The sequence below is a fragment of the Homo sapiens genome, chromosome 4, assembly GCF_000001405.40.
Source record: "Homo sapiens chromosome 4, GRCh38.p14 Primary Assembly".
In the NCBI taxonomy this organism is placed as follows: Eukaryota; Metazoa; Chordata; class Mammalia; order Primates; family Hominidae; genus Homo; species Homo sapiens.
The window spans coordinates 5,459,181-5,483,203 of record NC_000004.12 but is presented as its reverse complement, the minus strand read 5'-3'; the positions used below and the strand labels follow the sequence as shown (position 1 = coordinate 5,483,203).

The 24,023-nt window shown below is 49.4% G+C and overlaps 1 protein-coding gene across 7 annotated transcripts in view; it reads right to left on the bottom strand.

The window, feature by feature from the left end:
- Positions 1–24,023, bottom strand: part of STK32B (serine/threonine kinase 32B) — a 481,604-nt gene that overhangs the window by 17,786 nt on the left and 439,795 nt on the right. For all 7 annotated transcript variants that reach the window (XM_047415924.1, XM_047415925.1, NM_001306082.2 and 4 more), the window contains 3 exons: positions 22,976–23,101; positions 16,370–16,501; positions 15,134–15,198 (listed from right to left, as the gene is read on the bottom strand). In XM_047415924.1, coding sequence (XP_047271880.1) covers positions 15,134–15,198; positions 16,370–16,501; positions 22,976–23,101 — 323 coding nt within the window. The remainder of the gene's footprint in view (positions 1–15,133; positions 15,199–16,369; positions 16,502–22,975; positions 23,102–24,023) is intronic.

The following is a 24,023-nucleotide window of genomic DNA, read 5'->3' as shown; positions in this document are numbered from 1 at the left end:
TCACAGCCAAATTCTACCAGAGGTACAAGGAGGAACTGGTACCATTCCTTCTGAAACTATTCCAATCAATAGAAAAAGAGGGAATCCTCCCTAACTCATTTTATGAGTCCAGCATCATCCTGATACCAAAGCCGGGAAGAGACACAACCAAAAAAGAGAATTTTAGACCAATATCCTTGATGAACATTGATGCAAAAATCCTCAGTAAAATACTGGCAAACCGAATCCAGCAGCACATCAAAAAGCTTATCCACCATGATCAAGTGGGCTACATCCCTGGGATGCAAGGCTGGTTCAACATATGCAAATCAATAAATGTAATCCAGCATATAAACAGAACCAAAGACAAAAACCACATGATTATCTCAATAGATGCAGAAAAGGCCTTTGACAAAATTCAGCAACGTTTCATCCTGAAAACTCTTAATGAATTAGGTATTGATGGGACATATCTCAAAATAATAAGAGCTATCTATGACAAACCCACAGCCAATATCATACTGAATAGGGAAAAACTGGAAGCATTCCCTTTGAAAACTGGCAAAAGATAGGGATGCCCTCTCTCACTACTCCTATTCAATATAGTGTTGGAAGTTCTGGCCAGGGCAATCAGGCAGGATAAAGAAATAAAAGGGTATTCAATTAGGAAAAGAGGAAGTCAAATTGTCCCTGTTGGCAGATGACATGATTGTATATCTAGAAAACCTCATCATCTCAGCCCAAAATCTCCTTAAGCTGATAAGCAACTTCAGCAAAGTCTCAGGATACAAAATCAATGTACAAAAATCACAAGCATTCTAATACACCAATAACAGACAAACAGAGAGCCAAATCATGAGTGAACTCCCATTCACAATTGCTTCAAAGAGAATAAAATACCTAGAAATCCAACTTACAAGGGATGTGAAGAACCTCTTCAAGAAGAACTACAAACCACTGCTCAACGAAATAAAAGAGGATACAAACAAATGGAAGAACATTCCATATTCATGGGTAGGAAGAATCAATATCGTGAAAATGGCCATACTGCCCAAGGTAATTTATAGATTCAATGCCATCCCCATCAAGCTACCAATGACTTTCTTCTCAGAATTGGAAAAAACTACTTTAAAGTTCATATGGAACCAAAATAGAGCCCACATTGCCAAGTCAATCCTAGGCCAAAAGAACAAAGCTGGAGGCATCACACTACCTGACTTCAAACTGTACTACAAGACTACAGTAACCAAAACAGCATGGTACTGGTACCAAAACAGAGATACAGACCAATGGAACAGAACAGAGCCCTCAGAAATAATGCCGCATATCTACAACCATCGGATCTTTGACAAACCTGACAAAAACAAGAAATGGGGAAATGATTCCCTATTTAATAAATGGTGCTGGGAAAACTGGCTAGCCATATGTAGAAAGCCGAAACTGGATCCCTTCCTTACACCTTATACAAAAATTAATTCAAGATGGATTAAAGACTTAAATGTTAGACCTAAAACCATAAAAACCCTAGAAGAAAAACTAGGCAATACCATTCAGGACATAGGCATGGGCAAGGACTTCATGTCTAAAACACCAAAAGCAATGGCAACAAAAGCCAAAATTGACAAATGGCATCTAATTAAACTAAAGAGCTTCTGCACAGCAAAAGAAACTACCACCAGAGTGAACAGGCAACCTAGAGAATGGGAGAAAATTTTTGCAATCTACTCATCTGACAATGGGCTAATATTCAGAATCTACAATGAACTCAAACAAATTTACAAGAAAAAAAACAAACAACCCTATCAAAAAGTGGGCAAAGGATATGAACAGACACTTCTCAAAAGAAGACTTTTATGCAGCCAAAAGACACATGAAAAAATGCTCATCAGCTCTGGCCATCAGAGAAATGCAAATCAAAACCACAATGAGATACCATCTCACACCAGTTAGAATGGCAATCATTAAAAAGTCAGGAAACAACAGATGCTGGAGAGGATGTGGAGAAATAGGAACACTTTTACACTGTTGGTGGCACTGTAAACTAGTTCAACCATTGTGCAAGTCAGTGTCGCGATTCCTCAGGGATCTAGAACTAGAAATAACATTTGACCCAGCAATTCCACTTCTGGGTATATACCAAAAGGATTATAAATCATGCTGCTTTAAAGACACATGCACACGTATGTTTATTGTGGCACTGTTCACAATAGCAACGACTTGGAACCAAGCCAAATGTCCAACAATGATAGACTGGATTAAAGGAATGTGGCACATATACACCATAGAATACTATGCAGCCATAAAAAATGATGAGTTCATGTCCCTTGTAGGGACATGGATGAAGCTGGAAACCATCATTCTCAGCAAACTATCGCAAGGACAAAACACCAAACACCGCATGTTATCACTGATAGGTGGGAATTGAACAATGAGAACACATGGACACAGGAAGGGGAACATTACACACTGGGGCCTGTTGTGGGGTGGGTGGAGGGGGGAGGGATAGCATTAGGAGATATACCTAATGTTAAATGACGAGTTAATGGGTGCAGCACACCAACATGGCACATGTACACAAATGTAACTAACCTGCACGTTGTGCACATGTACCCTAAAACTTAAAGTATAATGAAAGAAAAAAAAAACGTGGTCTCCACAATCCTTTATCTTAACCTAAACATTCTTTTCCATTGATCCCAAGTCTTCAGATAAACTCAACTAATTGTTAACCAGAAAATGTTTAAATTTACCTATAGCCTGAAAGCTCCCCCACCAACCCTGCTTTGAGTTGTCCTGCCTTTCTGAACCAAACCAATGTATTTCTTAAATGTATTTGATTGATGTCTCATTCCTCCCTAAAATGTTTAAAACCAAGCTGTACCCCGACCACCTTGGGCACATATATGTTCTCAGGACCTCCTGAGGGCTGTGTCATGGGCCACGGTCACTCATATTTGGCTCAGAATAAACCTCTTGAAATATTTTACAGAGTTTGACTCTTTTTGTGAACAGTGTGTGTTGATTTAAAAAATGAAAAGAAGATAATGTCTGACACAATACTTAATTGAATGGCACTATATCGGTCTGATAATTTTGTAAATAATTAATATTACTAGGAAACATTGGGTAGTGCTGACTGTCACCGAGGCTGTTAAATGCTTAACATGTGTGCCATTTGTTCTTACGACAATCCTATGAAGTACATATTAATACCCCATTTTACAATTAGAAAGCTGAGGCAGTAGTTTGAAGTCTAAGGCCACAAAGCTAAAATCAGGATTTGTACCCAGGCAGTCTGGTTCCAGAGTGTGTGCTTTTAGCCATTTACATATCCTGCCTCTCTGTAGTTAAAAAAGAAACGCCCCAAAACAAAACCCCAAAAAACCGCAAACACAGAGTTGAAATTACTGGAAAGCTGTGGGAGGACACATACCAAATTGAATAATGGTAATTGAGTTGGAAATGGGGGGTGGATATTGAAAGAGAAAAAAGCAAAAGTCATTCAGTTCCATCGTGCATACCCTGCAAGAATCCCTTCTCTAGAATCCCTGGAAGAGACCCAGCCAGTGTTACCCAAGCCCTGCTGCCACCTCCCAAGGCAGCCCATCCCATCTGGGAATAGCTCAAGTCCTGAGAAACTTTTCCTTCACATAGAATTGAAATGGAGAAATCTGCTGCCTGAGAGCTCCATCTCCACTCCACCTCCACTGGCCTTAGGTCTGCTTTCTGGAACTATTAAATATTTGGATGATTCCAGTTTCTTTCTCATGGAATATTCCTCCAATTCTTAGAATTCCCCTAGACTAGGCCGGGCATGGTGGCTCACGCCTGTAATCCCAGCACTTTGGGAGGGTGAGGTGGGTGGATCACCTGAGGTCGGGAATTTGAGACCAGCCTGACCAACATGGTGAAACCCTGCCTCTACTAAAAATACAAAATTAGCTGGGCGTGGTGGTGGGCGCCTGTAATCCCAGCTACTTGGGAGGCTAAGGCAGGAGAATTGCTTGAGCCCGGGAGGCGGAGGTTGCAGTGAGCCGAGATCATGCCACTTCACTCCAGCCTGGGTGACAGAACAGGACTCCATCTAAAAAAAAAAAAAAACAAAAACAAAAACAAACAAACAAAAACCAACAAAAAACAAGAACAAAGAAAAAGAAAAAACTCCCCGGGATTAACTGTCTCCTGCCTCCCCCTGGATCCGCTTTGCACCACCTCCAACTCTTGTCAGCCTGGGAGTCTGACTTGGAGGAGCCATAGCCTAGGTGCCCATGCCTGTGGGCTGCCAGCTGGGCGTGGCCAATGGGAAGCCCCAGCAGAAATCATAGAGAGCAAGGGATGCCAAGTGTGGGCACTGGTTCCCTAGCTTCCTCCCTGCACTGCCGCCTGGGGTTGCTAGGAACATTGGAGGTCACTGCTCCAGTCAAGGCAGCCCGGTGATTGAGGCTCTCCATCCCCTCATCTCCTCCAGCCTCCGGGGAGTAACACCTTGGCTTCTATGGAGCCCCAAGGTACTGCAGAGCCTCTGTGGCGTCTCTACCCACTCCATGTAAACGATTCTTTGTAAGTAAATTATCCTTGGAGTGTTTTCTCTGGGACTCTAATACAACATCTTTCCAGTCTCCCGGAGATTTCTCTTTTCTAAGTAAAAACTCAATATAACTGGCAGTTCCACTTTTAAACCTCAACAGTTATTGGGAGATTACCTTGTAGGCAATTCTGATCTCTGTAATTCAATAACAGCCTTTGGCCAGAAGCATTAAAGTTCTGCCAGTCTTATCAGCTGTTGCCTGAAGCAACACACATTTGAGGGAGTCTTTGGTTGGATTCAGCCAAACCCTGGGTGCTAAATGCAGAAAATGCAAAACGCAAGGGATTCTCTTACCATCGTCTCCTCTCCCTCTCTCCGCCCCTTTGCAAATGAGACCGCTCTGACAGAACTGAAGGGCAGCAGTCTCTGGTTTCTGAGTCATGGGGGATTGATTTTCCCTATTTGTTGTCTCTTCATTCCACAACTTCTCATTTAATACCTACATCCCATCCTTTGGGAGAAAAGTGAACCAGGCCCATTTTTAGGGTGAGAATGGATGGGCAACTGGTAGTAGGTCACATGGCTTTTCAGAGGGGAGTTGAGAGTTCAGATGCAGAACTCTGCTCTTCCCCTCTTCCCAGCTAAGCATTCTTTCCACGGCCCCATTCTGGGCACTGGTACCAGTTGATTTCTCCCTAGACTCGGAGGTGAGGCTGAGCTTTTCCGCCTCAGCTGGCTTAAGGGTGAGGTTTGCTGGGTCCTTCTTGGTGTGGGTGGGGGCACTGGAAGGACCTGCACTGGGGGTCTGACGGATGGGCAGTCACTAGGGGTCCTCACCACACACTCTGGCCCCTGTTCCCAGCACACGGCAGGATTGAAGTTCTGGGCTCCCTTGGTGTTAAGTGAGGCCACGTGACTAGTTCCGGCCAGTGAGCATGAATGGAAGTGCTGCGTGCTACCATCAGGCTGGAGCGTGTAATTCCCAAGGGCAAAACTCTCCAGAGGGCTCTTCCCTCTGTCATGATCACTGCCATATGGAGTGGAGTGAGAAGCAGCAGGAAGATGTAGGAGCTGCACTCCAAGCTGACCTGCCATGGACATACAGCGTGAACAAGGAACACACTTGGTTGTTGTTAAGTCACTGAAACTGTGCATTTGTACCTGGTTATGGACTCAGAGAGGGGATCTGGGGATCCGGATGCTGGTGGGTGGTGAATAATGGACTCTGAGCCATTCTGAGCCAGAGCTCCCATCAGGACCTCTAGACTGTGTCTCTAGACAGAAAATGAGGCATTTGAGGGTTTTAGGCCATTTGAGAGGACACAATTCAATTCAACACAGAGGTCTCAGGCAGAGACTCTAAGGCTTTTTCATAAGAAGCCAGGGTGTGTGATAACAGCTAGATTAAGTAGTGAAAATGAACTTTAAGGACCCATAAGAGAAGTTACTAGTTGCCCCTGTGTGCTTATTTCAGAACACCTCACTGATAATAATAGCCATGCTTAACGTTTTGTTTGAATTTTGAGGAGAAATCGAGGGTTACACGGTGAGACAGCACTACCCATCGGGGAGCCTTTTAAGTTCCTGGAAGGTATATTTGTTTCCTTGCTCTGCTTAGCAAATTTCCGCAAACTTGGTGGCTTAAAAACAACAGAAATATAGTCTCGCTTTGTTCTAGAGACCAGAAAGTTAGAAATCAAGGTGTTGGCTGGGCCACACTTCCTTAGAGGGTTGCAGGGGGAAGTCCTTCCTTGTCTCTTCCAGTTTCTGGTGGTAGCCACCAATCTGGTGGCGGCATCCCTTGGGTTGTGGCAGCCTCTCTTCTGTCTCTCCCTGCACCTGCACATGGCCTTCTTCCCTATGTGCCATTGGATTTAGTGCCTACCCTAATCTAGTGTGACCTCTTCATAAATTGAATACTTCTGCAAAGACTCTGTTTCCAAATAAGGTCATATTCACTCATAAACTTAATACTTCTGCAAAAACCCTGTTTCCAAATAAGGTCATTTTCACAGGTGCCAGGTGACAGGTCATCTTCACAGGTGCTAGGCGACAGGTCTCCAACATATCCTTTAGGAGGACACAATTCAACTCACAACACAGGGTTCTCAGGCAGAGTCTAAGGCTTTTTCATAAGAAGCCAGGGTGTGTGATAGCTAGATTAAGCAGTGGAAATCAACTTTAAGGACCCATAAGAGAAGTTACTAGTTGCCCCTGTGTGCTTATTTCAGAACACCTCAGTGTTTGTATTCTGTATTTTATATACTTTCCCAGCAGTACCACTCCTTTACTTCACTTGGATATTGTAATTACAGTTTCTGTATTTTTAAAAAATTAAAAGTGAGCATTAGAAGGGGGATAGTGAAACAGAAAATGGGCTTGAGAATCCCTCAGACCTATGTGTGGAATCCCCACTCTAGCTAAAACACTTTACCAGTGACCTCAGACGGATGACTTATTCTTTCCAGACATTAAGACTTATAAATCAAGATTGTGAGGCCGGGTGCAGTGGCTCACACCTGTAATCCCAGCACTTTGGGAGGCCGAGGTGGGCAGATCACCTGAGGTCAGGAGATCGAGACCAGCTTGGCCAACGTGGCGAAACCCCATCTCTACTAAAAAAAAAATACAAAAATTAGCTGGGTGTGGTGGCGGGTGCCTGTAATCCCAGCTACTTGGGAGGCTGAGGCAGGAGAATCGCTTGAACCTGGGAGGCGGAGGTTGCAGTGAGCCAAGATTGCGGCATTGCACTCCAGCCTGGGCGACGAGCAAAACTCCATTTCAAAAAAATTTAAAAAAACAAACAAAAAGATTGTGGTGAGGATTAATTGTAGATCAAGTGTGAATATATATAAAATGCCAACCAAGCACAGTACACGGCACATAACAGCTTTTCAATACACTTAAAAATGATAGTATTTTCTATGTCTTTTTTTTTTTATTTTCCACATCTTTTATTGGCTGAGATTTGTCAGAATCGGTCACACTTTTTTTTTTTTGGAACGGAGTATTGCTCTGTTGCCCAGGCTGGAGTGCAGTGGCGTGATCTTGGCTCGCTGCAACCTCTGCTTTCCAGGTTCAAGCAATTCTCCTGCCTCAGCCTCCTGGGTAGCTGAACTACAGGCGTGCACCACCACGCTTGCCTAATTTTTGTATTTTTAGTAAAGACAGGGTTTCACCATGTTGGCCAGGTTGGTTTTGAACTCCTGACCTCAAGTGATCTGCCCACCTCAGCCTCCCAAGCCAGTCACGCTTTTTTTTTTTTTTTTTTTGAGATGGAGTCTTGCACTGTCACCCAGGCTGGAGTGCAGTGGTGTGATCTCGGCTCACTGCAACCTCCGCCTCTCGGGTTCAAGCGATTCTCCTGCCTCAGCCTCCTGAGTGGCTGGGATTACAGGCGCCTGCCACCACACCCAGCTAATGTTTCTTTGTATTTTTAGTATAGATGGGGGTTTCACCATGTTGGCCAGGCTGGTCTTGAACTCCTGACCTCGTGATTCGCCAGCCTCAGCCTCCCAAAGTGCTAGGATTACAGGTGTGAGCCACCGTGCCTGGCCACACTTTTTAAACCGGGCCCTAATTCCCATGCAGTGTCTTGATTGTGAGTTTTGTGGCACTATTAAGATTCTGCAATCCACACAGCCTTTTAGACTACCTTCATCTCTGGCTGGAATTCCTCCCGCTGCGTCAGGTCACTGAGCTGATTCTCCCCAGTCATTCGAAAGGCATTTGCTCTGCTGTATCAAGGTTCCCAGGAAGCTCGGCCCTGCCTTGCTCAATCGCCTGAGCTCTTCCCTCCCCTCCACCTCATTGGGCAGTAAACCCTCTAGACTTCTGAGTTTCAGAGACACCATTCAAGTCAGAATTATGTTTTAATCAGTTTAGCTGACTGTGAAACGGGAATAAAAATACCTACGGATACAATCTCAAGGAGAATGGAATGAGAAAATGGGTGCAGGTAGCTCCCCCATGGCCAGCACACAGAAGGTGGTCTTCACTGTTAACTGCCTTTTCTATTAAGTTTGAACCACAATGTTTAATTCAAAGACTGGACAGAACCTACATGTGCTGGCCTTCACTTTGGGAGGCCTAGAGTTTTGAAGTTTGCTACTTCCCAGCAGTGAGGTTTGTGGGGAAGGGACTAAGTGCAAAGGGTTTTCTCCATTTTGCAGATTAATACAAGGACTAACCTTTCCTTTTCTTACTAGTTGGGTTGCTGAAGAGATACGAGAAATGTCAAAGCACTTCGCAGATGGCACAGACCTTGGTAAAGTCAAAGAATCATTGACATCTGTTCAGCCCCTTGATGGCACAGATGAGAAGTCCGAGGCTCAGAGAGGCTGGAGCTTCACTGGGGTCACAGCACCATGAGCAGCAAGACCAAGACTTGACCCAGGCCCATCAGATTCTGAAGCCTGTGATGGATTGCACCCCTTGTGCCTCATTGGCGCTGGCTCACGAGGGCTCCAGGCCATGCTGGAGGGTCCCTATCATATTGCTGGGATCCTCCAAGGCCAGAGTTCTCCAGGGAGGCCACCTAAGCAGATGAAGTCAGCCAACATTAATTTTTTTTCTTTTTTTTTGAGACAGAGTCTCGCTCTGTCTCCCAGGCTGGAGTGCAGTGGCGCGGTCTTGGCTCACTGCAACTTCTGCCTCCCGGGTTCAAGTGATTCTCCTGACTTAGCCTCCCAAGTAGCTGGGATTACAGGTATGTACCACCACACCAGACTAATTTTTGTATTTTACTAGAGATGGGGCTTCACCATGTTGGCCAGTCTGGTCTCAAACTCCTGACCTCAGGTGATCCACCTGCCTCGGCCTCCCAAAGTGCTGGGATTACAGGTGTGAACCACCGTGTCCGGTCTTTAAATATCTTTTGACTGTCTACCCTGCTGCGGACTTAGTCAGGGCACCCTCCATCCACAGCAAATGCGCTGGGTTTGCTGCCATTGTGTGGTCTGAGGAGGGGTAAGGAGGATGCATTGTGGTCATGTTAATTTGTATAATCTTGCACCTGAAACGTCTGGGTTCGCCAACAGAAGGTGTCTACAGGGAGAGTGACAATTCCTTGCCCAACATTTAATGTACATGGCCAGGGGCTATTTTGATTCAGCCTGGGGCTCTGGAGCCACACTGTCTCTGTGGAACCCCGGCTCTGCCACCTCTTGGCTGTGTGCCCTTAATCCACTCTGGGCCTGTACTTCCTAACCTGTGAAATGGGGGGGAATAAGCATAACCAGCTCAGAGGACGGATGTACAGACTAAATGGCACAGAGTGAACACCCAATAAAAGGGAGCTCTCATGACCATCTATGCCACGCCTGCCACTGCCCATTGGGTGCATTGGAGAGAACCCTCAAGGCCACCCACTTGTGCAAAGCAATCCTTCCTGCACGTCTGAAAGCTCGTGCCACCAGGCTGTGAGCTCCATTGAGAGCAGGGGCCTTGCTCCCAGCAGTATCCCTGTACCTGACCCCAGGGAGATGCTCAATAAACATCTGCCAAACAACTGGATGAAAGCACAGCTAGCAGAAAGAGCCTGGGAACTAGGAGACGGGAGATTAGAGTTCAAGTTCTTCATATTGCAAGACCTTGAGAATACCAATGATATTTCTTTTAGGGAAATGTGATAAGTAAGGACTAAAGCACTGGCTCTCAACTGGGGGTGATTTTGCCTGCCAGGGAACGTTTGGCAATATCTGGAGACATTTTTGATTGTCACTGTCTGAAGGTGTTACTGGTATCTAGTAGGTAGAGGGCAGAGATTATTTAAGTATCCTGCAAGGCACAGGATGGCCCTCACAACCAAGAATTGATGTCAACAGTCAGTGCCAAGGTTGAGAAACCCTAGATTAAAGGAACATGATCTAAAACCATAAAGTCACATACAAATGATGATTGTTATTAGTGTTCATAGTATTATTTGGTGTAACAAATGCAATAGTAGATTTTTTAAATGTGATATTTTCAAGGACTCCAGGGGTAGCTTTTATATGATTTTAAATGTTTCTGTTTCTTCAAGAGATAGCAAAGATAGAAAATGCCCCTTAAATTCCTTCCTCACCAGGAGCTTCTTATTCTGCAAAATGTCAAATGCTATTGAAAAGACCTCTTGGAAAAATCAGCCCTGCTCAGATCTTTGGCCAAGAATAGGAGGATGGGCCCCCTGGTGCATTTCTCAACCCAATGGAAGTCTCAGCTGCCAAGGCCTTCAAAGCCCTGACCAGCCCTGGAAGCAGATGCTCCACCTGGCTCAGTGGCCTTTTGCCAGCTGAGACCATTAGCCAATAATAAGCTGCATTTCCAAAAAAGTAGGCAGCGCTAATTTTAATTTTGTTCTCTGTTTCGAAACAAAGGTCCAGAGAGGTTAGCCCCAGGGCACCTCCTCCTGTCCCCACAGTGGCCCCTGTGTGTCTGATTCACGGCACACACCGCACTGTTTGGTAATCCTCCCCGCTGCAGGCTATGGGCATCCTGAGGACACGAGTCCTGAAGACTCACTTCTGTGTGAGGCCCAGTCCAGGATTATGATTTAGCTGTCAAATGACTGAATGCATTTGTCCTGCAGGGCTGACACAGTGGATGCCCTGCCCATGTCCTCTCAGCTCCTACTTGCTGCTTGGTGCAGATGATGGGTGCTCTACCACAGTGGGAGTTGCAGGAACCGTCTCTCTCCCCAAGAGCTTTCTGTAGCTGAGGAAGCATACGTGGCCTATGCAAGAGGAAGTCAGCTGTGCAGGGAAGTTAAGGCCCCCGGGAGCATCCCGCAGCCAGTAGGCTTTTGCTAAAACCATGTATAGCAGGAATCTATGTTCAAGACACATTGAATGTAGGAGTTGCAGATGAACCCCTAAGGGCAAGGGAGTCAGAGCTGGGAGGGTTTGCAGCTTTAGACGGGTCCTTATGACTCAACTCAGAACCCACTAGAGGATGCACCACTTAGACACCCTGGTCTCCTGCGCAAGATTCCAAACTGTTTAGCATCAGAATCGCTTGTGGGACATATTAAAACGCTGGTCCCCATGCTTACTCTCTCAGCTTCTGGTTGGGAAGGAATGGATTAGGGAGCTGTATTGGCTGTATTAGTTTCTCTGGGTGGCCGTAACTAAGTTACCACCAACTGGGTGGCTTTAAACAACAGAAATGTATTCCCCATAGCTCTAGAGGCTAGAGTCTGAAATCAAGGTGTGGGCAGGGTTGGCTCCTTCTGAGGGCTCTGAGGGAGAATCCGCTCCAGTCCTTCCTCCCAGCGCTGGATGGCCGCCAATGCTGGGTGCTCGTTGGCTTGTACCTGCATCACTACAATCTTCCCGTGGCCTTCTCCCCATGCCTGCACCTCTTCTCTTGTCAGGACAGACACCAGTCATGTTGGATTAGGCACCCACCCTACTCCAGTCTGACCTCATCATAACTCATTACATCTGCACCCACCCTATTTCCAAATAAGGTCACATTCTGAAGTAGGGGGGCTTAGGGCTTCGACATATCTTTTTGAGGGACACCATGCAACCTGCAGCAGGTGCAGTATCTCTAGATGCTAACAGGCCCTCAGACAATTCTGATTGTCCCCCTGGGACTGTGGCCCTCCTGTGTGATGTGTGATTTATCTTTGCAGCCCCCACTGTGCAGGGATCCTGCATGCCCCTGCATATTCTGCAGGAGCAACTGGTGTCAGGCTGATGGCCAGGTCTGCAGAGATTGAAAGGAGGCGGAACTGCTGGGGACCGGGGACGTGGTCCAGGCGGAGCATGACGACAAGCCTGGCTTGATGCTTGGCTCCCCCTGACCAGCCCTCGACTCACTACACTGCTCAAGTGGGGAAGAAGGTGCTCGATTTAATTTTCCAGCTACTCAAGTGCCAGCAGTGCCTCTAACATGGGATTCCAGACAGAAGTGAAGGATAAACAGGTCTCACTTTTTTCTTGGTTTAAAGTAAAAATGCTTGTTTTGAGGCAATCATGAGTCATGAATCAACTTCTCATAGGCATTTTTTTTACTGCTGAGAAACTGCAGCAAGGGAGGACTGTGGGTAGATGGAGCATGGCTCTCTTCCCACAAGATGAGGTGGGGATGGGGTCGGCTGATGCATCTTGGGGGACACAGCAAAACCCTCTCCTGGACACCTTTATATGGCAGTAAGCCTGCACGCCTGCTGTGACAGGAAGCCTATCAGCCATCAGGGCCGCAGAGGAAGCACTTAGGTAAGCAGAGACAGGATGAAGAAGAAGAACTACAGCTCAGACCTCAGCCAACAGCTTCCCCCATAGCCATGCTCTCTGTGGCTCCCCATTGTCAGGAACACATGACGTCTGCCCTCTTTCTTTATTTTGCTGACTCCGGTAAACTATGCCAGCCTCACTTCCAATCCCCGATGCCAAATCTCAATGGTGTCCATAGGCTGACTGCAAATCTCAGGGGTGTCCACAGGCCAACTGCATTTCCCTCATCAATTCCCATTTACACGTGAGGAAGAAAACATCTACTCGGCTGAAGCTCCTATATAGTGAGGTTTCTGCTAAAAGCAGCAGACGCAACTCCTAAATGACACAGGGAAGGATGTCTCATTCTCACTTCCTTTTAAAAGGAAGAATCCAAATTGAAGCATGTTCTGGCACACAGCAAAAGGTGAAATGAGATTGCTGTCTGCTTGGGTCCCACACAGCTTAGCTTTTTGCAGGCTCACGTTTGCCAGCAGCTGCTCTCATTGGACTCCACGGCCCACACACAGAGAATGAAGGCTGCCTGAGCCCAAGATCACTGATGCTCTTTGAGCAGAAGTTCCTGGGTCTGGGTTTCTAAGTCTGGGGGAAGGGCCATGAGCCTCAGAGCAGGCAGGACCACAGGCAAATTGGGATAAGCTCCGAAACCACTCACGACATCAGCCCCCGTCTTCCCCAAGTCTGATGGGCTGTGGCTGCAGAGGCCCTTCCTGTGTTGTTGGCCAGAGCTGGGAGACCCCAACATGTGGTCCTCTAGCAGGTGAGGCTTGCTGCCCAAGCCTGGTGTGTGTGTCTGTGCTGATCTGGGCACCCATTGGCCCTCAGAGCTATAGCCACTCAGGGTCAGTGAAAGGCTGCTGCCTCCTTTGCCTCCCCAGCATCGACTGGGACTGGGGCCCTGTCCTGCCCACTGGCCCATGGCTGGAACCCAAACACCCATCCCTGCCCCATCCCTCACCTCTCCTCACTCTCTAGGCCCTGCGGCAGCCATGCTGTCTTCCTTCTCTGTGCACTTTTCCTACTCCTGGAATGCCGCGTTTTCCCCTACATGTCCCTTAGGACTTGGCCCAGCACGCCACCTAGAGAACTTCCCCAACCACCCAGGCTGAGCCAGGTGTCTGCTGTGACATGCACTGCCCTGGGTGGCCCTTGGCCTTAGCACGTGTTTCCTGCGCTGTTAGCATCTGCTGAAAGCCAAAACGGTTGAATACTGGGGATTGCATAAGGGCCTGTAATCAATGATTTTTTGAGTCAATCAATATTTGAATCTCCTGGAGGGCAGGAAGCATCTCTGATTTGCCTCCACCAACCCAAAGCTTGGCTTAGTGTGGGTCCAATGGGGCTCATCGGCTGCCCCTGCTGGAGCCCCAGCTCTGACAAGTCAGCCACAGCCACAAATCCCCTAGATAATTTTTTTTTTTTTTTTTGAGACGGAGTCTTGCTCTGTCGCCCAGGCTGGAGTGCAGTGTGCGCGATCTCGGCTCACTGCAAGCTCTGCCTCCCGGGTTCACACCATTCTCCTGCCTCAGCCTCCCGAGTAGCTGGGACTACAGGTGCCCGCCACTGCGCACAGCTAACTTTTTGTATTTTTAGAAGAGACGGGGTTTCACCGTGGTCTCGATATCCTGACCTCGTGATCTGCCCGCCTCAGCCTCCCAAAATGCTAGAATTACAGGTGTGAGCCACCGCGCCCGGCCTCCTCTAGATATTATCATTGGCTGGAACCGAGCCTGAGGTGTCTGCCTGCTTTGTTGACCAGCCCCTTAGAGGGCAGTCCCATGGCCAGGGCACACCCCACCTAGCCCCTCCCAGATTCCCTGTGTCTCTTTTCCCATCCCAGGCTGCTGAGGTTCCAGCATCCCCCACCGACCTTACCCAAGTAAATATTAGTAACAATCGTCATTACCTTGCCGTGTTGAGAACCCCTTCCATACCAGGTGCTGCGGGACCACAGCCTCATTTAATTCTCACAGCCCCGCGTCTTAAGGAGGCCTCTCCACTGGGCTGATGCTGACCAGGAGGCTCAGGCAGGGCAAGGTCACTCTGCAGTGGCAGAGCCAGGACTTGGCCCCAGGCAACTTGACCCCAGCGCTCTTACTTTTCATCACAGTGAGCCTGCCTCTCCGCCTGTGTTCCTGTGTGCCCGCTCAGGGCTGCTGCAGCCTCCCCATTCTCATGGGAGCTCCCAGAGACTGGCTCAGGCCACACAGCAGAGGCAGGATCGGAGCCCTGTCTAATTCAAAATCCAGGAGTTTCACCCCCCACCAGAGCCCTGTGTCTCACCTCAGCGATACCTTCCCTTTTGTCGTCAAGGCCGGTTTGGGGGGCAGGGACTGTGATTCTGCCAGGAGGACCTTGGGTCACTTAGGACAGGCTTTGCCCAAGGGGGACAGTATGAAGGACTTACTTCTCTCTGTTGAATATGATGAATTCCTCCCGGACAGTCTCCAAACAGTGCTGCAGGTGTCCATTCTGTCAAAGAGCACAGAGGGGTGACTAAATGACAAAGCACGGTCCGGGGACGCGCGGTAATGGAGCATCACAGGACGGCAGACTGACCTAGATGGAAACCTCAGATGCTTGGGACCGGGACAAGCCAAGCTAAGTGTCTGGGGCTGACCCTGACTGCATGGGTGGCTGTGTCCAAAGGTAGCCTGGTGGACAAAGATGCTTTTCTCCACGTTAAGCCATGAAATCCAACTTAAAAGCCATGTTAGAATGGAATATGGGCTGAAATTCATGAGCTTATTTTCCTGACCACTTAAGGCCCACGTGAGGGGCATGGAAAACCAGAAATTCACAACCATGATGCCAGGGGCTCCACTTGCATAGGGGAGGGGGGTGTTGTGTGTTGAATTGTGTCCTCTGAAAGGTATCTTGAGTCCCAGCCCCCCAGTACTTATAAACATGACGTTATTTGGAAATAGAACCTTTACAGATGTAATCCAGTTAAGATGAAGTCACAGTGAATTAGGTAGGCCCTAAGACCAATGACTGGGGTCCTTATATGAAGGCCATATGAAGACATGCGAAGACACAGAGAATAAGGCCATGCAGTGACGGAGGGAGAGACTGGAACCATGCAGCTGCGAGCCAGCGAAGGACAAGGGGGCCGGCCGCCACTCGAAGCCTGGGGAGCCAAGGACGGCCCCTCCCCTATAGCCTTTGGAGAGAGCTGGGCTCTGCGGAGACCTTGAGTTTGGATTTCTGGCCTCCAGAACCGTGAGAGAATCAATGTGGGTTGTTTTAAGCCACCTAGCTTGTGGCAGCCCCAGGAAACGAATACAGAGGCCCACAGAGGCAAAGTGCCCAGGACCCACAAAAGTCATCGTGCAGCCCTGGGGGCCTCTGCGGTACAAAATCTTTCTCAAGGGCGCAGTGGGACCGCTGGGTCCCTCCCCCTGCCTTAGAGCTACACAAGCTTCCTGCTGTAGGAATAGCGCTCAAGGAATGCCAGGAGTGTGAATGCCTTACTTCACTCTTTCCCCCTACTTGTTTGATAGTAGCATTTTATTTACTGCAAAATAAGGAAATTGGAAGGGAGGATTGAAATGTCCCCTTTTTGCTAAACAGTGGCCTGGCTCAGTCATTTCCCTATGAGCACAGGATTTCTCTCCCGGAACGGCTCCCACGAAGCACTCACCAGCGGGCAGCTGTCCTTTGTGCCATCCCTGGATCTGTTCTTTGCCAATCGCTTCTTCTTTTTGTGAAGTGGCTTGGATTCTAGAATCATCTCTTCAAGCTCAAATGTGGGATCGCAGTTCAACCTCCCTTTCTAAAGGGGAGTAGAAAAGAAAACATGGTCTGTCTGCGTTCCACCCATCACTGAATTTTCTTTTCATTAATTCAACCATTCATTCATTCAACAAGTAATGATGAACTTACTCTTGTTGGATACACGGGTTACCTTTGTTTCTGTTTTCTGATGATAAAAAGCAACACGTTCTCACTGTACACATCATATATTTACACATAGTCCCCCTGGGGCAACCGCACTCCTGTTAACATCCAGGTATTTCCTTAGGCCCCTTTCTATGCCTGTTTTTCATACTAGGCTGAGTTCAGTTTTCGAATCTGATTTTTTCACTTATTATTTTATCCTATGCACATTGTCCTGTCATTACTATCTTTTTTATAAAAATCATTCTAAATAACTTAAGAATACAATTTCAGCTCAAAATCTGCCCAACTTCCTGCCCTGGTTCCCTGCTCCGTACCCCCGCCTCCCGCCCCCTGGCAGCTAGAGTCAGCTGACCCTCCGGCCTGGCCCTGCTCCTGGCCAGGGGCTCCTCCCGCTGTGGTCAGGAGGAATTTAGGTCTCCCTGACTTCTGGGCCTTGGACCCAGATTCCTGGTAGCCACTTTCATTCCTCAGCTGTAGCCCAGATGATGGCCCCAGGTGCCGGTCCCCAAAGGCAATGCAGCCCGGTGGCTATAACAGCAGCTTTGGCGCGCACAGGGGAAAAATCCCAGTTCTGCTACTTCCTGATCTTGTAAGTTTCATGACTTCCTTGGGACTCAGTTCATTAGCTGTAAAGTTTGGGTAACAATAATTCCCATATAGGGAATTAATAATATAATATCTATAAAGTACTCCAAGTAGGGCCAGGCATGAAGCAAGTCCTCCCTACAGTGGTGGTCCCTGGGCCTGTTAGGACCTGGGCCTGCTGTGACCTGGCCAAGAAGGAGAGAGGCGAGGCACAGCCTTGAGGTCAGCCAGCCTTGCCACTGGGCCCTGTGTCCTCTCCTTTTACCTGCGTGATGCTGAGGGAGATTCATAACCTCTCTCTGCCTCAGTTTCCTCATCATTGTGAAATATGGCAGGCTCAGAGTTTGTTGAGGGATCAGATGATAAGAGTTTGCCAAGCTTCCAGAACGGTGGATGCCTGACCATGGTGGCCGTTCCACAACTGGCCATTCCCTCTGCTTCTCTGCTGTCCCCTCACCTCCCTAGGATTCCTGGCCTTGAACCCAATTTACAAGAAAGGGTCTTGCTACCTAAAGCTGAACTTGTCTTGGCCATGCTCCCTAATCTGCTTGATGCCAGCCAGTGCCTTTGCCATGACCTGGGGGCAGGAGGAAGACAGGGACTTTGCAGACAGAACTGGGGAAAGTCCTGGCTTCCCTAACTCCCAGGAACTCCCTAAACCTCTATGGGCCTCAGTTTCCATATTGTAAGATGAGGGCACTAGTGCAAGTCTGTGAGGCTGACATGAGAAAATGCAAGAAAAGCTCCTAGCCCAGCCCCTGCCACACAGGAGTTGCCCAATAAATGTTACCGAGTTGTTGTCACTGTGTCATTCGTGGGCTAATGGAGTGGAGTCCTATGTCCTTTGCCCCTTGCTTTCTCAGTCCTAGAGGCTGGGCCTCATCCTTTCTGTTGTGACCTGCTGTGGACCCTCCTTGGGTTCGCGGTACCAATGGCCTCTCCCTTCCCCTGCCTGGCACTGGGCTTTGTCCATCATCACCAACTCCTGGAACTCAACTATGATCACCTTCCCTGATTTCACACATCTGTCCTCCAGAAGTTGCCCTCCCCTAAGGAGCAAGTTGAATCTCAGGCCCAGGTCTCTCCAGACCTGTTTTACCTGCCACTCATTCATTCATTCATTCGTTCATAAATATGCAGGCTCTGCCTTGTTTTGCCTGCCACTCATTCATTCATTCATAAAAATGCAGGTTCTGGATCTAGACCATCTGAATTCAAACTCTCAATTTCTCACTGAGAAATCTTGGGCAAGTTGCCTAACCTTGCTGAGAATGCCATTAACAGGATCCACTGCCCAGGACTGGTGTGAAGCTGACACAAGATAAGTCACACAAAGTTATCAGAACAATGGCAGGTACACAGAACACGCTCAGACCTGTTGGCCATCATCATTCGTTCATTCACGTGACAAGCACACACTTAGGCCTTCTAGTGCCTTCTATTGTCACCCATTGTTCTGGGGTCTGGCTCAGGCAGAGAGAGGTCAGCCAACACTTCGCGGCCCTCACCCTCCGAAGCTCCCAGCAGGATGGCAGGCGCACTGCGACAGAGTGTTCTCACCACTGATGTATCCCTAGGCACTCGTGCAGAGGGTTGCAGGAGAGGCTGAGGCCTGCTCTGTGCAGGGAGGTGGTGGCGCTGGCTGGGAATGTCCCAGAGGAGGCCAAGCTTGGGCTTGTCTTTCCTTCAGAAGGTGACATAACTTGCCTGTCCCCTGCAAATCTCATGTTGAGATGTAATTCCCAGTTTGGGAGGTGGGGCCTGGTGGGAGGTGTTTGGTTCATGGGGACGGATCCCTCATGGCTAGGTGCTGTCCTCACAATAGTGAGTGAGCTCTGGTGAGACATCTGGTAGTTTAAGAGCGTGTGGCACCCCCCACCCCCACTGCTGTTCCTGCTCCTGCCACGTGACACACCTGCTCTTGCTTCACCTTCCGCCCTGACTGGAAGCTCCCTGATGCCTCCCCAGAAGCAAAGCTGATGCAGGTGCCATGCTTCCTGTACAGCCCGCAGGACTGTAAGCCAGTTAAGCCTCTCTTCTTTATAAATTACCCAACCTCAGTTATTCCTTTATAGCAATGCAAGAATGGCCTAATACAGAAGGCTTCTGCTGAGACTGGCAACTGGGCCAGTCCTTGCTTTATGCTGTCTTGAAGGAGGGGTAGGAGACTGCCTTGTGGACAAGGAGAGGAAGGGATCCCCGGAAGAGAAAGCGGCCTGTGCAAGGTTCCAGCTAGGAGACAGCACAGCCAGAGGGGAGGCTACAGACCTGTGGGTGGGGCTGAGGCTCACTGCCCTGTAGGTGGGCATGTGGTAGGGGGCTTGCTTGTGTGTGTGTGTGTTTGTATGGGAGTGTGCATGTGTGTGAAGGTGTGTGTGGGTGAGTATATATGTGAATGCATGTGCTTGTGTAGGATGAGTAGGTATGTGTGTGAGACTGTGTGTGGGGGCACGTGTGCATATGTGTGTGGGGGAATGAGTGTGCATGTGTGTCTATGTGTGAGTGTGACTGAGTGTGTGAGTGTGCATCAGTGTGTGGGTGTGTGCAGGAGAGGGGCTGAGGAGGAGCAGCAGGCCAGGGTGCTGCAAAGGCAGGCACCTGCCAACAGGCTCAGGCACACAATATGGCAAAGCCACAGGCTGACCCCAGATGCCCCCCAGGGCATCCCAGCACACAGCCTCAGGGAAGGCTCAGACAGCACTCGAGGAAGTGCTAATTAGGCAATTTGTGCCTGATGTGCAGGACTGCATCGAGATTCTTAGCCTTCGCCAGTCTCACCCTGAGTTTGGCAGATCAGAGCCTGTGAAGAAGGCGGGCATATTTCTCTGGACTGTCCAAAATGTGCATTAGGAAGGAAGTCAGCCACGGGAATGCGCGCAGAGCAGAGGCTTTGGAAGCCTCCGGGCTCTACTCCCCAGGCTCTGTGAGGGTCCTGGTTTCTCATCGGATCTGTGAAGAACTAGGGTGCAGCCGCCTGAGGTCACAGAGACGGCAGAAGAGACCCAAACCTTTACTCCCGGCTCAGCAGAGCCTGCGGGTCTCCTTCCGAGGGCCCTGCCCTGTGGTTTATTTTCTGTCTTTGTAGGTTTATTGGCTTATGGCTCCACAAAACCCTACCCTTGTGGTTGTCAACTGGGAACAACTTTATCCTCAGGGGATGCTTGGCAATGTCTGGAGACATTTTTGTTTGCACAACAGAGGGGATGCTACTGGCATCTCATGAGTACAGTCCCGGGGTGCTGCTCAACACTGTACAAGGCAAAGGACAGTCCCCCATCCCAGAGTGGTCCCTCCCCAAAGGTCGACCCGCAGTGGGGGCTGTGCACTGTTGTCTGTAAGCTCCCTGGCAGCCCTGGGGCTGTTTTCTTCCCAGGGGTCCAGCTCCTGTGCAGCACAGTGCTGGTGGGTGTAGGTGTTTGGGGGACACAGATGGTGACAGTAAGGTCTGTGCTTTTCACTTTCTCATTGGCCAGCGGAATAGGGTGGGAAATGGGATGCAGACTGCCTGCCCCCAGCATTGAGCCATTGCCCCCGCAGCTGCCCCTGCCGGCCCCAAGGCACACTTGCACACCACACACACACACAGATGCACACACACACACAGATGCACAGGCACACACAGACATATAGGCACACACACAGGCACACGGACACATATAGACATACAGACACACAGACACACAAGCAGGTACACACACACAGACACATACACACACACACATACAGACACAAAAACAGAGGCACACACACGCAGATACACAGGCACACATAGACATATAGGCACACACACCACGGGCATGCACACAGACATACAGACGTACAGACACACAGACACATGGGTACACACAAATGCACTGGCATGCACACACAGATGCACAGGCATACACACAGACACACTTCCACACATACCCACACAGGCACACAGAGCTCCCAGTTGGCCAAGTGAAACCCTAAAATAATTATATTGGGAGAACAGCAGAGAGCTCTACCTGAACAGCCACTCTATGCTAAGCCTGCCCTGGACACTTTGTCCCCATGGCCTGTTCCCACAGCAGTCCGAGGGGTGTCTGAAGAGCCAGGGAGCTTTCTGAACTCAGAGGCAGCACCATGTCCACTCTGGGGTCAAGGAAGCCTTCCAGCCGGGCAGATTCCCTAAGGTTAGGCAGGTCTGGGCGGGCAGAAGGAGGTCCAGGCAGTGGGAACGGCACATGGCCAGGCCTGGAAGAATGAAGGACGAAGCCCTGTGCGACCTGCCATTCCATAGCCTGTCTGGAGCCCTGCCTGCGAGGGAAGTGGGGAGAAAGGTGGGCTCAGGGGAGAGCAGGGCCAGCCCTGGACCAGGTGAACTGGCTAAGCAGGTGGGGATGCAACGCTGCTCACAGGGAGAGGACGGGAACAGATGAGCATCAGCCAGGCTTGGCTTCGGTTGGATTCAGTGGTGAACACTGGGCAGGCTGGGGAGGGTCTGTGTTCAGAAACGTGCGTGTGCGCTGCTACCACGGTTTGTGAAAAAGGTCTGGAAGCCTGGCACTCTTGGAGAAACTGATGTGGGGAGACATTATTTTTGCACCAAAAGGAGTGACGGAAGTCTTTAAAATAATCTGACATGAAACACTAGCCAGGGACGTCTGAGGCTCCCCAGGAACCAGCCTAGAAATCTCTTGCCTTCCAGGCTGGAGTCTCCACCTCCATTCACATAATACGGGGCTGGAACAGGCAACAACAAAGAGCAAATGTTGTCTCTTTCCTGCTCACACCACTGCTACCGGGCAGGGCAAGGACAGGTGAGCGGGTGGGGTGTGCTCTCCTAGGTCACAGATGGCAGAGGTGGCTGAACTGGAATGTCACCCAGGATTTCCATCCCAATTGTCACTATTCCTCAGGTGCTCTCTGCAATTCCCTCTAGGAGAAATGCAACTGCTCAACAGGAAGGGACCACAGGAGGCTTCCAGGCAGGTCCAAACTTTCAGCGTCTGTCCTGGAGGACCCAGGAGCCTCCAGCTCCTGCCAGAACCCTCCTTTAAAATGTAAATCCAATGCTTTCACTTCCCTGCCTTAAACACTCCAGTTTCTGGGGGACAAAACCTAAAACTTTGACCGTGGCCTCTGGAAGCCTTTTTGGTGTGGCATGTGTTCCCTCCTGGCCCCATTTCCTATTATATTCCCTCTGGTTTATTCCCTTAAATGCTATAAAATTGTTCTTTGAAACCCAGGCTTTCTGCTGCCTTCAAGAGTGTGATCTTGTCGATCCCTTTGCCTGGAAGGCTCAGTGCCCATCCCTGCAGTCCTGGTTCCCTCACTTTACCTCTAGGTCTCTGCCGACCCTTCCTAAAAGAAGCCCCTGCCTCTGCCCCTCCCATCCCACCTCTCCCTCTTCCGAGCTTGTGCAACAAGTGCTGACTGCCCTGTCGGGGTAGGTCATTGCCTGTCTTCCTCTACTCGGCAGTCAGCTCTGTGGAGGCAGAAGGGTAGATCAGCCTGCTATCCCCACACCTGGACCTGAGCACCTGGAGGTGGGATTCAGTGACAGAGAGAAGGCTTGGCACCCCCAAAGGACCTACCACAAGGAGGGAAGCTGTACGGCTGGGACCCTGGAAATCAGGCCCAAGTTCACCCTGAATTCCAGCAAGACATAAGCCCTTGGTGCTCAGGTGGAAGTGGCCAGCAGAGGGCTCACTAGCCAGCTGCCAAAGTCTTGCTTTGCACCAAGGCGGGGACCCTGCAGAGGGGTGGCATGACATCAGGTGGGACTTCCACTCACATTGGGCACAAAGCCGGGCATCAGTGCCTTCTTGAACACCGCGTCCCAGTTCATGTCGGCCAAGTAGGGCACGCTCTGTATGTCATGAAGGCTGGACACGCGGCTCTCAGGATCCTTGGTCAGGAGCTGCAGTTAGAGGGCAAATGAGTTTCCATGAATTGGGCATCCCTCAAGGTTAGCGGGGACTCTGAAGGAGGGGGTCTCAGGGCAATTAATGTGCCTCTGCTCTTCACGCTCTATTGATGTTGTGCCCCGTCTGGGTCACTGTTGTTGGAAGCGCCATCTGCACTCATCTCTTTATAGCCAGGGAGAAACTGAGAGGTCAGGCTGCTTCTGCAAGGTCATCCAGTGAGGGACTGTTAGGGCAGGGACCAGACTTTCAGCCCCCATGTTTCTTTCTGGGACTGGAGCCTGTAACAGGCTGCCTCTCTGATGTCTGGAGAAGCATCCAATTACAAATAGAAAGAATTAGCTGCCTCATCTTAGGATTTCCAACTTGGTAATGGGAGGCACCAAATTGTAATAAAATTTATACCTGGACAGCTACGAGGTGATCTCTGTGACCTAATGAAGTGGCCTCATTTGTAGCCAAGGGGACACTTTTTAGCTTCTCTTCTAATTGAGTTTCAGCTAATAAGGAGTGAGGTAGCATAAGAACAGCTGAAGACTATGACCTGGCATCCCAGCGGGCCTCCCAACTTGCCAAAACCCTGTAGCTTATCTACTGAAAAGGCACAGGGGCCAAGAATGAAAAGACAGAGGCCTGGCCCCGGGACTGTCATTTAACAGCTGTGACCTTGGGCGAGCTGCTGGGTGCCCTGGGCTCATTGCCTCCCTGAAAGCAGGGGGAATAATGGAGACTTCTCCACTTCCAGCTCATGGTAGGATGAGACCAAATGGGACTGGTAAGGACCTGGCACATACTTAGAAAGGTGGGGGGGGGGGGCACACCAGGGTCCACAGGTGGAGCTGGAAGTCAGAGCCCCCTGCCAGTTCACACACACCTGTCACTGCAGAAATCTCCCACCTATGCCCATTGAGTGGCTGC